Source organism: Homo sapiens, chromosome 10 (genome assembly GCF_000001405.40).
Source record: "Homo sapiens chromosome 10, GRCh38.p14 Primary Assembly".
Lineage (NCBI taxonomy): Eukaryota > Metazoa > Chordata > Mammalia > Primates > Hominidae > Homo > Homo sapiens.
In genome coordinates, this window is record NC_000010.11 from 73,369,259 (window position 1) to 73,382,159 (window position 12,901).

The following is a 12,901-nucleotide window of genomic DNA, read 5'->3' on the forward strand; positions in this document are numbered from 1 at the left end:
TGTGGGAGCCAGGATAGGCAAAAAAAGTATCCTATCCTCCAAATATGAGATATCTGTGCTGATTACTGAACACTGCTTCTGATCACAGGGGTATAGACAAAGAAGCAGGGGCCATTGTTGCATCTCCCCCAATTGTTGCAAGTCTCTCCCTCTCCAGGTGAAGTGACGTCCAGGGGACTGAAAGGTCTGGTACGTGTGTCTTTATCCCAACCCTTCATTTTTCTCTTTTTCTCCCTTTGGGGGGCAGACATTAAAGACAAGGACATTCAAAAGCAACTACATATATGGGGAAAATTAGAAAGTGGCCACCCACACCCAGAGAAAGGCACAGGCTCAAAAAGACCTGAGAAGACCTTAAGTTTATACCTCAGTATGGTCCTTGGCCCAGAGACAGCCTACAACAATTAAAAAACAAAAACAAAAAACAATAAACAAATACAGTAACAAAAAATAGCAAACCCTGGGGAAAGGGGAGAATCCAATTTCCAGAGTTACCACATTATCAAACCCAAATGTATAATTTTCAATGAAAAAAATCACAAGGCATACAAAGAAACAGGAAACTATCCCCAATCAAAAGCAAAAATAAACAGAAACTGTCTCTAAAAAAAGACCTGGTGACAGATCTATTACACAAAAAAATTTTAAAACCTGTCTTAAAGGCTGGGTGTGGTGGTTCATGCCTATAATTCCAGCACTTTGGGAGGCCAAGGCAAGAGGATCACTTGAGGCTGGGAGTTCAAGAGCAGCCTGGGTAACACAGTGAGACCCTGTCTCTTAGAGAAAAAAAAAAAAAAAAGAAGAAGAAGAATTAAAAAATAAGCCAGCCAGGTGCAGTGGCCTGTGTCTATAGTCCTAACTAGCTACTTGGGATGTTGAGGCAGAAGGCTCACTTTGAGCCCTGGAGTTTGAGGCTGCAGTGAGCTTGGATTGTGCCACTGCACTCCAGCCTGGGTGACAGAGCGAGACCCTTGTCTCAAAACACAAAAACAAAAAACTGTCTTAAAGATATAAGGCCAGGTGTGGTGGTGGCTCATGCCTGTAATCCCAACACTTTGGGAAGCCAAGGTGGGCAGATCACTTGAGCCCAGGAGTTTGAAACCAGCCTGGGCAACACAGTGAAACTCCATCTCTACTAAAAAATACAAAAAATTAGCTGGATGTGGTGGCACACACCTGTAGTCCCAGCTACTTGGAGTCTGACATGGGAGATCAACTGAGCCAGGTAAGTCGAGGCTGCAGTTAAGCTGTGATTGCGCCACTGCACTCTAGCCTGTGCGACAGGAGTGAGGCCCTGTCTCAAAAAAATAAAATAAAATAAAAGAGATGATCAAAAAACTAAAGGAAGATATGGAAAAAGCCAAGAAAATGATGTATAAAGAAAATGGAAATATCAATAAAGAGATAGAAAACCTAAAAAGAAACCAAACAAATTCTGGAGCTGAAAAATACAATAACTGAAATGCAAAAATTCACTAGCAGGATTCAAAGGCAGATTTAAACAAGCAAAAAAAAGAGTAAGTCAAATTGGAGACAGGACAATGGAAACTGAGTCTGAAAAACAGAAAGAAAAAAGATTGAGGAAAAGTGAACAGAGCCTAACGGACCTGTGAAACACCATCAAGTGGACCATCATACACATTGTGGGAATTCTAATGGGCAAGAAATAGGAAGAGAAAATATTTGAAGAAATAATGGCTTAAAAGCTTCCCAAGTTCTATGAGACATGAATATAAACACCCAAGCAGCTCAATGAACTCCAAGTAGATGAACTTAAAGAGAGCCACATTAAGACACATTTTAATCAATCGAAGTTTCTTTTTTTTTTTTTTTTAAGATGGAGTCTCGCTCTGTCACGCAGGCTGGAGTGCAGTGGCACGATCTCGGCTCACTGCAAGCTCTGTCTCCCGGGTTCATGCCATTCTCCTGCCTCAGCCTCCCGAGTAGCTGGGACTACAGGCGCCCACCACCACGCCCAGCTAATTTTTTGTATTTTCAGTCGAGACAGGGTTTCACAGTGTTAGCCAGGATGGTCTTGATCTCCTGACCTCGTGATCCGCCTGCCTCAGCCTCCCAAAGTGCTGGGATTACAGACGTGAGCCACCGTGCCCAGCCTTTAATCAAACTTTCTAAATCCAAAGAGAGAATCCTGAAATCAGCAAGAGAGAAGTGATTTGCCACATACAAGATATTTTTAATAAGATTATCAGCAGATTTCTCATCAGAAAGAATTGGATGATATAGTTAAAGTGCTAAAAAAAAAATTGTCGACCCAAGAATCCTATATCTGGCAAAACTGTCCTTAAAAAGTGAGGAAGAAATTTAGACATTCCTAGATAAAAGCTGGGAAAGTTCATTACCACTAGACCTGCCCTACAAGAAATGCTCAAAGAAGTCCTAGTCCTGCAGGATGAAATGAAAGGAGACTAGACAGTAACTTGAAGCCACATGAAGAAATAAAGATCTCAATAAAGGGTAAATACATGGGCAATTATAAAAGCTAATGTTATTGTAATAATAGTCTGTGACGATACTTTTGGTTTTCTACATGATTTGAGATGAACACATTAAAAAAAACTAAACACTAGCATAACTGTAATTTTGGTTTGTAACTCCAAATTTTGTATTCTACGTAATTTAAGAAACTAATGTATTTAAAAGAATTAGTTTATGTTTTGGGTCACACAATGTAAAAAGATGTAATTTTGTGACATCAACCAAAAGGGGTGAGGACACAGCTGTTAGAAGAGTTTGTATATGTCACTGAAGCTGGCATAAATTTAGTGTTATAACTTTAGGATGTTAAATGTTATCCCCATGGTAACCACAGAGAAAATAGCTATAGAATATACACAAAACAAAGGGAAATGAATTTAAATGTTTCACTACAAAACAACTAAACACAAAAGACAGTAATGCAGGAAATGAGGGACAAAAAAGCAGTAAGCCATATGGAGAACAAATAGCAATACAACAGAAGTTCTTATCAGTAATTACTTTAAATGTAAATAGATTACATTTTCTTTTTTTTAATTTTTATTTTTGAGATGGAGTCTCGCTCTGTAGCCCAGGCTGGATTGTAGTGGCATGATCTCAGCTCCCTACAACCTCCACCTCCTGGGTTCAAGCAATTCTCCTACCTCAGCCTCCCGAGTAGCTGGGATTATAGGCGCATGCCACCACACCCGGCTAATTTTTGTATTTTTTGTAGAGACGGGGTCTCACCATGTTGGCTAGGCTGGTCTTGAACTCCTGATCTCAAGTGATCCGCTGGCCTCAGCCTCCCAAAGTGCTGGAATTACAGGTGTGAGCTACCACGCCCAGCCAGGATTAAACGTTCTAATCAAAAGACAAAGACTGGGCTGGGCGCGGTGGCTCACGCCTGTAATCCCAGCACTTTGGGAGGCTGAGGCGGGTGGATCACGAGGGCAGGAGATCGAGACCATCCTGGCTAACACGGTGAAACCCCGTCTCTACTAAAAATACAAAAAATTAGCCAGGCGTGGTGGCGGGCACCTGTGGTCCCAGCTCTACTTCGGAGGCTGAGGCAGGAGAACGGCGTGAACACGGGAGGCGGAGCTTGCAGTGAGCCAAGATTGCACCACTGCACTCCAGCCTGGGCGACAGCGCGAGATCCATCTGAAAACAAAAACAAAAACAAAAACAAAAGACAAAGACTGGCAAAATGGATTTTTTTTTTTTTTGAGACGGAGTCTCACTCTGTCACCCAGGCTGGAGTGCAGTGGCACAATCTCAGCTCACTGCAAGTCCCACCTCCTGGGTTGACAGCATTCTCCTGCCTCAGCCTCCCCAGTAGCTGGGACCACAGGCACCTGCCACCACGCCCGGTTAATTTTTTTTTTTTTTGTATTTTTAGTAGAGATGGGGTTTCACCATCCACAGGATGGTCTCGATCTCCTGACCTTATGATCCACCCGCCTCGGCCTCCCAAAGTGCTGGGATTACAGACTGAGCCACCGTGCCCGGCCAGCAAAATGGATTTTTAAAAATCCTTGGGAGGCTGAGGTGGGCGGATCACAAGGTCAAGAGATCGAGACCATCCTGGCCAACATGGTAAAACCCCATCTCAACTAAAAATACAAAAAATTAAGTGGGTGTGGTGGCGCACACCTGTAGTCCCAGTTACTAGGGAGGCTGAGGCAGGAGAATCACTTGAACCCGGGAGGTGGAGGTTGCAGTGAGCCGAGATCACTCTACTGCACTCTAGCCTGGCAACAGAGTGAGACTCCATCTCAAAACAAACAAACAAACAAACAAAAATCCAACTTTATGCTGTCTACCAAACACTCACATTTGATCCAAAGACACAAACAGATTAAAAGTTAAAAGATGGAAAAAGATACTCCATGCAAACAGTAACCAAAAGAGAGCAGGGGAGGCTACAGTAATATCAGACGAGATAGACTTTAAATCAAAAAAGGTTATAGGGGCCGGGCATGGTGGCTCAGGCCTGTAATCCCAGCACTTTGGGAAGCTGAGGCGGGCAGATCACCTGAGGTCAGGAGTTCAAGACCAACCTGGCCAACATGGCAAAAACCTGTCTCTACTAAAAATACAAAAATTAGCCAGGCGTGCTGACTGGCGGACACCTGTAATCCCCACTACTCGGGAGGTTGAGGCAGGAGAATTGCTTGAACCCGAGAGGCGGAGGTTGCAGTGAGCTGAGATCAGGCCACTGCACTCCAGCCTGGGCAGCAGAGCAAGACTCCATTCTCAAAAAAAAAAAAAAAAAAAAAAAAAAAAAAAAAAAAAGTTACAGGGGACAAAGAACATTATATAATAAAAAATCCAATACTGCAAGAAGATATGACAATTATGAACATCTACACACCTAATAACAGACCACCTAAATATATGAAGCAAAAACTGATAGAATTAAAGGGAGAAACAGTTTTACAACAGTAACTGGGGACTTCAATACCCCATTCTCAATAATGGATAGAAGAATCAGATGTAAGGAAAAAGAGGACTTAAATAGAACAATAAACTAGATCTAATGGACACATACGGAACACTCTATACCTAACAATGGCAGCATATACATTCTTCTCAAGTACACATGGAATTTTCACCTATTAGGTTGGGTATTATCAAAAAGGTAAGACATAGCAAGTGTTGGCAAGAATGTGGAGCAAAGGGAACCACTGTACACTGTTGGTGGGAAGGTAAATTGGTATAGCCATTATAGAAAACAGTATGGAGGTTTCTCAAAAAATTAAAAATAATATGACCCAGCAATACCACCTCTGGGTATGTATCTGAAGGAAATGAAATCAGTAAAGAGGTATCTTTACTCCCATGTTCACTGCAGCATTATTCACAATAACCAAGATATGGAAACTACTCAAGTGTCCATTGATGGATGAATGGATAAAGGAATTATAGTATATATACACAATGGAATATTATTCAGCCTTAAAGGAGGAAACTCTGGCCGGGTGTGGTGGCTCTTGCCTGTAATCCAAGCACTTTGGGAGGCCAAGGCGTGTGGATCACCTGAGGTCACGAGTTCAAGACCAGCCTGGCCAATCTGGTGAAACCCCATCTCTACTAAACAAAAAATTAGCCAGGAGTGGTGGCAGATGCCTATAATCCCAGCTACTCGGGAGGCTGAGGCAAGAGAATCGCTTGAGCCCGGAAGGCGGAGGTTGCAGTGAGCTGAGATTGTGCCACTGAACTCCAGCCTGGGGAACAAGAGCGAAACTCCATCTCAAAAAAAAAAAAAAAAAAAAAAGGAGGAAATTCTGCCATTTGTGACAATGTGAATTATAAACTTAGAGATCATTATGCTAAGTGAAATAAGCCAGACACAGAAAGAGAATATTGTATACCATTTATACGTGGAATCTAAAATAGCTGAACTTAAACACAGTGGTGGTTGTCCAGGTGAGAGGTGGGGAAAATGGGGAGATGTTGGTCAAAGGGTATAAACTTTCAGTTATAAAACGAATAAATGCTAGAGGTTTAATGTAGAGCACAGTATCTATAGTTAATAATGTACTGAACACTTAAAATTTGCTAAGGTAGTAGATCTTAAGTGTTTTCACCACACATGAAAAAATGGTAACTATGTCAAGGTGACAGATACGTAATTAGCCTGACCTTAATTGTGGAATCATTACACAAGGAATGCTGATATCAAAACACCATATTGTACACCTTAAATATATGCAATTTTTTATTTGTCATAACTCAATTTAAAAAAAGAAAACAACTGCGAAAAAAAAGTAGGCTATGTATCTTAAGCATATAAACATTTGACCCTTTCTTAAAAGGTGCCACAGGTAATACTAATCTATTTTCTATGTGGAAAGTGTTTATGAATACAGAACCAATTTAGGCAAAATGAGATGCAAATTATTCTAGATGTAAAGGTTGAATTTTTTTTTAAAGTACACAGTTTTAACACACTATCCACTCTATCAAGCAGACTTAGAGGGATTCCGGAAGGCAGAGCTTTCAGTAACCTTCTAAAAAATTATTCAATATTATTACACAGAATCAGAGATTGCTGTGATTTTTATTCAATTTGACATCTTGATTAGAATGAAACTAGTAAGAATGAAGGTTTACAAACATTGCAATATTACTGTATCATTGTGATATGGCTTTACATTGATTGTATGTAGAGAACAAAATAAAATTAGAATTAAGGCAATAACAACATGTGCAAACCAAGCACATTACCCTGATACGGTCCTTGACAGAAAGCTCTTTCGGTTAGCTGATGTTTGATATTGCTGCATGCAGGTCATTGCTCTGAAGGATAAGCTATGAATAGAAATTTTTTTTCATTAAAAAAAAAAAAATCCCTCCTACTGGCCCACAATAGCCAGAAGAAGTCTTCGGTAATCTCCACTCGTGTCACCTGCAATCATTGTGCCCAGAGTCTTCTGATACATCTGAGCGAACATCTGTTTTATTTGTACAAGGTCAATCTGCATAAGAAATAATATTTCTGTCAGAAAAACATCTGTGACAACTGACATTTCTTAAAATTCTTTTTAAATAATAAGATCTTAATAATAATCAAAACTTGGGGGGGAAAACACCAAGTGACTGACATTTTATGGCTGGCACTCATACCAATGCTAGCACTACCCAATGAAGGTCTGATTCACAGCTCTGTAAAATACTTGGTCAGGGTAGTACTAGTTTCATCTATTATTCCAAAGATATTAGTCATTTAAAAACATTTGATAGGATGGCTATTATCAAAACCAAAAAAATAGTAAGTATTGGCAAGGATGCCATGAAATGGGAACACTTGTACACAGGTTGATGGAAAAGTAAAAGGGTGCAGCTGCTGTGGAAACTAATATGGTTAATTCCTCAAAGCAAAACAAAAACACTTCCAAAGAATTACAATATGACCTAGAAATTCCACTTCTGGGTATATTCAAAATAAGTGAAAGTAGACTTGAACAGATATTTGTACATCCATGTTCATAGCAGCATTATTCAGGCAGAAACAAACCAAGTGTCACAGATGAATTAAAAAAAAAACCAAAAGGTGGGATACACGTACAATAGACTATTTAATTACTCAGTCTCAAAAGGAAGGAAATTCTGACATGCTATAACATGAATAAACCTTGAGGACGCTATGCTAAGTAAAAGACAACACTCACAAAAAGACAAATATTGTATGATTCCACCAATATGACGTACCTAGAGTAGTCAAACACAGGCACAGAAAGTCACATGGTTTGTTGCCAGCAGTTGGGAGAAAGGAGAATGGGGAGTTACTGTTTAAGGAGTATGGATTTTCAGTTTTGCAAGTTGAAAAAACATCTGAAGGTGAATGGTAATGATGGTTGCATAACAATGTGAATGTACTTACTGCTACTTAAAAATGGTAAATTTTTATGTTATGTATATTTTATCACAACTTAAAACATCCTGCTTTGAAAATTTAAGTTAAAGAACAAAGTTTTTTTCAAAATACCATATTCTGGTTGTTTTCTTTAAAAATAATCTACCTTCTTTAGTATAATTTAGGGTTTTTGGCCGGGTGTGGTGGCTCATGCCTATAATCCCAGCACTTTGGGAGGCCGAGGCAGACGGATCATCAGGTCAGGAGTTCGAGACCAGCCTGACCAACATGGTGAAACCCAGTCTCTACTAAAAACACAAAAAAATTAGCCAGGCATGGTGGCACGCACCTGTAATCCCAGCTACTCAGGAGGCTGAGGCAGGAGAATCACTTGAACCCGGGAGGCAGAGGTTGCAGTAAGCCGAGATTATGCCACTGTATTTCAGCCTGGGTGACAGAGCGAGACTCCATCTCAAAAAAAAAAAAAAAAAAAAAAAAAAAAACACGCAATAATAATAATAATTTAGGGTATTTTTTTGACACAGGGTCTCTGTCACCAAGGCTGGAGTGTAGTGGTGCGATCACGGCTCACTGCAGCCTTGACCTTCCAGGCTCAGGTGATCCTTCCACCTCAACATTCTGGGTAGCTGGGACTACCATGCCGGGGGGTGGGTGTGGGTGTGTGTGTGTGTGTGTGTGTGTGTGTATTTTTTGTATAAATAGGTTTCACCGTGTGTGTGTGTGTGTGTGTGTGTGTATTTTTTGTATAAATAGGTTTCACCATGTTGCCCAGGCTACCACGCCCCGGCGTGTGTGTGTGTGTGTGTGTGTGTGTGCGCGCGCGTGTGTTTTTTGTAGAAATAGGTTTCACCATGTTGCCCAGGCTGGTCTCAAACTCCTGGGCTCAAGCAATCCTCCCGCCTTGGCCTCCCAAACTGCTGAGATTACAGGAGTAAGCCACGACACCCCGCCATGTTTTCTTTCAATTAAAAGTTCAGGCCAGGCGTGGTGGCTCACGCCTGTGATCCCAGCACTTTGGGAGGCCGAGGCAGGTGGATCACTTGAGGTCAGGAGTTCGAGACCAGCCTGGCCAACATGGTGAAACCCCATCTCTACCAAAAAAATACAAAAACTTAGCTGGGCATGGTGGCGCACACCTGTAGTCCCAGCTACTCGAGAGGCTGAGGTGACAGAATTGCTTGAACCCAGGAAGTGGAGGTTGCAGTGAGCTGAGATCGTGCCACTGCACTCCAGTCTGGGTGACAGAGTGAGACCATGTCTCAAAAAAAAAAAAAAAAAAAAAAAATTCAAATGTCATTTCTTCTGAGAAAAAAAATTTTTTGTAAGTGGAGTAAATATATAAAGTACAATTTTTAAAAATGAGGCTATACTTGAGACAATTATGAATATTTTAAAAATTGTTTTATTATTAATAAAGGATGCTAAATTTAAATAATGTTGATATCCACTAGGATTAATCTACATAGGCCTTTCATCTAATTTTTATATAAGCAAAATGAAAATCGAAAGACAAATGTCTAACTTCCCATAAATTTGTATTCTCCATTGACGTTCTCAAGTTGTAAAATCTGTTAGTATTATCTTCATTAGGGTAGAGTGGCCTATTTCACTAATGCAAGCTTCTCCCACAGCATGAGGAAAGTGAATTTTCTGTTCTTTATACCACCTCTTTTAGGTGGCAAAGAGAGCTCTTTCTTATCATTTTTGAGGGACTGACAACCAACTGGGGAACTTTTAAGAAATCAACATTGAACATCAAGTAAGACCCGACAAAAAGAGAGAGGCCTGCCTCACCTCACTTCGAGTGACCACAATCCGGACCAGGGTGGAGTCATCTGTGCCAGCACCTTTCATAGCATAGTAGAGCCTCTCAGCAAAGAAGGCAGGGCGGTTCAGGGCACACTGCACTGCAAGTTAGAGATGGTTGAGACATGGAATCATGATCTCACAAGAAGTGTACCCCTCCAGCTTCATTTATCACTTATAGCCTGCCTTTGATTATTTTCTCTGTAATCATCACAGAAACATGGGGTGAGTTAAGAGTGTTCAGATGCTCTCCTTGATTTTTTTTGAGACAGGTTCTCACTCTGTCATCCAGCCTAGAGTGCAGTGGTGCAATCATGGCTGACTGTAGCCTCCCAGACTCAGGTGATCCTCCCACCTCAGCCTTCTGAGTAGCTGGGACTACAAGTGTGAGCTACTGCCCCTGGCCCAACATTCCATTGTTAATACCAAAGTGTTACTAATACTCCCCTTAGTCCTAATATCCATGAGAATGAAACTTTCACTTTGTTAGACATCTGTGTATTAGACCACCAGAAACTGGTTAACTTCAAAAAGGAAATGAGTCTCACTGGGCTGAGTACCTGAAATATCTGTTTTGAGGACTCAAACTGCTTCGTGGTGACACTGTGAGTTCCTCAGGACTTTCCCTTTCTCTTTAAAGGAAGTGCTACAACTATCAGGTATTCTGGCACAGTTATCAAGACAGGCCTACAGATGAAGGCCAAATAATCCCCAAACAGCCCTGTTTGATCACAGAACTACCATTCATAGGAAATTGTATGTAAAAACACAGGACTGTTTCTGGGGGCTTATCCAATAAAGAAAACAAACAACAAAAAACAAACCCCAAAGGATTAGATCAGCTACTGCCTAAGCAGATTCCACGTGGACTATATTATCAACATTTAATGGGAACAACTATTCAAAGCTCCCACTCATTTAAAAAGAAAATAAAGCAAAGCACAAAAATATCTTACAGATGGTCTTCAAACCACTTTCTACATATCCGGAAAACTCACGGCTCACACTGCTTAACAAGTCTCGATTAGCCATCTGCAAACAAAATTAAAGGGTTAAATATTTTTGTATCTTACAGCAGAAGCCAAATCTTCAAAAGAAAAGCTCATACCCTAGAATAAGCCTCCATGGTAGCTCTCAGCTGAGGAAAGCTTCTTGTGGCAAGGATCATGTTAAAGCAAGATTCATCGGTCCCTAGTCTCCCCTCACCAGCTTGATAGAGACGCTGAGCATCTTCCTGAGCCATTTGGTGGTTTATACTCTGGTTCTCATCACGATTTCCCTGCAAAAGAGAAAGGCAGGAATTGGAAGAAATAAATAATAGTTCTACTAAATTTTTTTTTTCCAATCTAGTTCACTTTTGGATTTAAAGAGACTATTTCTTTTTTTTTTGAGATAGGGTCTTGCTCTGTCACTCAGGCTGGAGTGCAGTATCAACCTCCTAGGCTCAAGTGATCCTTCCACCTCAGCCTCCCAGATAGCTGGGACTACAGGCACAAACGACCATGCCTGGTTAATTTTTTTATTTTTTGTAGAGACAGCATGTCTCACTATGTTGCCCAGGTGCTGGTCTCTAACTCCTGGGCTTAAGTGATCCTCCTGCCTTAGCCTCCTAAAGTGCTGGGATTATAGATGTAAGCCACTGGGCCTGGCCTAAAGAGATAATTTATTAAAGATTAATCCATAATGTCTGTCATGCATATGCTTCATTTCTATGCATGGAAATATAACTAGTAATTTATTATACTGTCAACTGGATTTTATAATATAAGATCACGGTTTAATGAGGTTATGTTAAAAATGAGGGCTTTTGGGAGCTAAATTAAACCCAAAATGTTTAAACAAAAATATCTCTACTAGGAGATATTAACTACCACTCAAATGAAGAAACAGCTCTCTTAGCTGGAATTTAAGATCAATATGCACTGTACTGAGTTCTACTTTTTATTCATTCATGCGACTAAGAGACATTAAGCACTTTCTTTGTGTCAGGCACTGTGTTAAGCGGTAGGGACACAGGAGAGACAGGGTCTCTGCCCTCAAGAAATTTAACTCTAGGGCAGGAGGGAGGGAGGATATAATATGGAGGCTTCATAAACTTTCTTTTCTTCATCTGAGTATAATATTTTTTTTTAAGAGACACGATTTCACTATGTTGCCCAGGCTGGGGTGCAATGGCTATTTGCAGACATGATCATAGCCTCAAACTCCTGGGTTCAAGTGATCCTCCTACCTCAGCCTCCAGAGTAGCTGGGACTATAAGCTCACACCACCACACTCAGCCATCGAATTATAATCTTAATATGTAAGTATTTACCATAAATACACGCATAAAAATGACACATAAGCTTTACAGAAGCAGCTACAAATAACTCATGTTCTGTTAGACTGTGCCTATTTGTATACCACACTCTTCCCTGGAATAGGAAGAAAGGAAGGAGGAAGGAAGAGTTTAAGCTTAATGAGCAGTTGGTTTCTCTCAAAAACAGAAAGACAAACCCAAACAAGAAAAGGCTGCCTTTTAGAGTCTCAGGGACCATCTTTGGAATAAGATGGAAAAATCCTCCTTGAAGCTGAAGAACTGTCTTCTGAGCAACTGGCACAAGGAATACGTAGAGGCACATTCTACATGGGCGACTGAATATAACACAGGAAAAGGTACTCACAAAAAATTTCCCAGATTATTGCCTTTGGATTCACACACACTTTCTCAGGAAGTTACTCCTCTACTCATGCCCTGGAAAAGGTAGGGCTGGGCCTTGAACTCTGCATAAAGAGAGACTCAGCACCTCATGTAAAATCTTAATAGCCATTTTTTAGCATTGTCTGTTTTCCTTCTTGTTTCTTTTAAATCCTAACCTACTGCCCTCCTGTTACTCTGATTTAGGTAAATTCAATTTCCTTCAACCCATTTACTTTGCTTTCTCATTTCCATATCCACTATCCTTTCCACAGCTACCTCCCTTTTTTTTTTTTTAGATGGAGTTTTGCTCTTGTTACCCAGGCTGGAGTGCAATGGCACAATCTCAGCTCACTGCAACCTCTGCCTCCCGGGTTCAAGCGATTCTGCTGCCTCAGCCTCCCAGGTAGCTGGGATTACAGGTGCCACCACTCCTGGCTAATTTTTTGTATTTAGTAGAGATGGAGTTTCACCATGTTGGTCAGGCTGGTCTCAAACTCCTGACCTCAGGTGATCCACCCGCCTCAGCCTCCCAAAGTACTGGGATTACAGACATGAAC

General features: G+C 40.9%; 1 protein-coding gene across 5 annotated transcripts in view; it reads right to left on the reverse strand.

Annotated features, from left to right (window-relative positions):
• Positions 1-5,842: 5,842 nt before the first annotated feature.
• ANXA7 (annexin A7) overlaps positions 5,843-12,901 on the reverse strand; it is a 38,958-nt gene continuing 31,899 nt past the window's right edge. For all 5 annotated transcript variants that reach the window (NM_001320879.2, NM_001320880.2, NM_001156.5 and 2 more), the window contains 4 exons: positions 10,773-10,943; positions 10,621-10,696; positions 9,653-9,765; positions 5,843-6,959 (listed from right to left, as the gene is read on the reverse strand). In NM_001320879.2, coding sequence (NP_001307808.1) covers positions 6,837-6,959; positions 9,653-9,765; positions 10,621-10,696; positions 10,773-10,943 — 483 coding nt within the window. In that variant the 3' untranslated portion in view covers positions 5,843-6,836. The remainder of the gene's footprint in view (positions 6,960-9,652; positions 9,766-10,620; positions 10,697-10,772; positions 10,944-12,901) is intronic.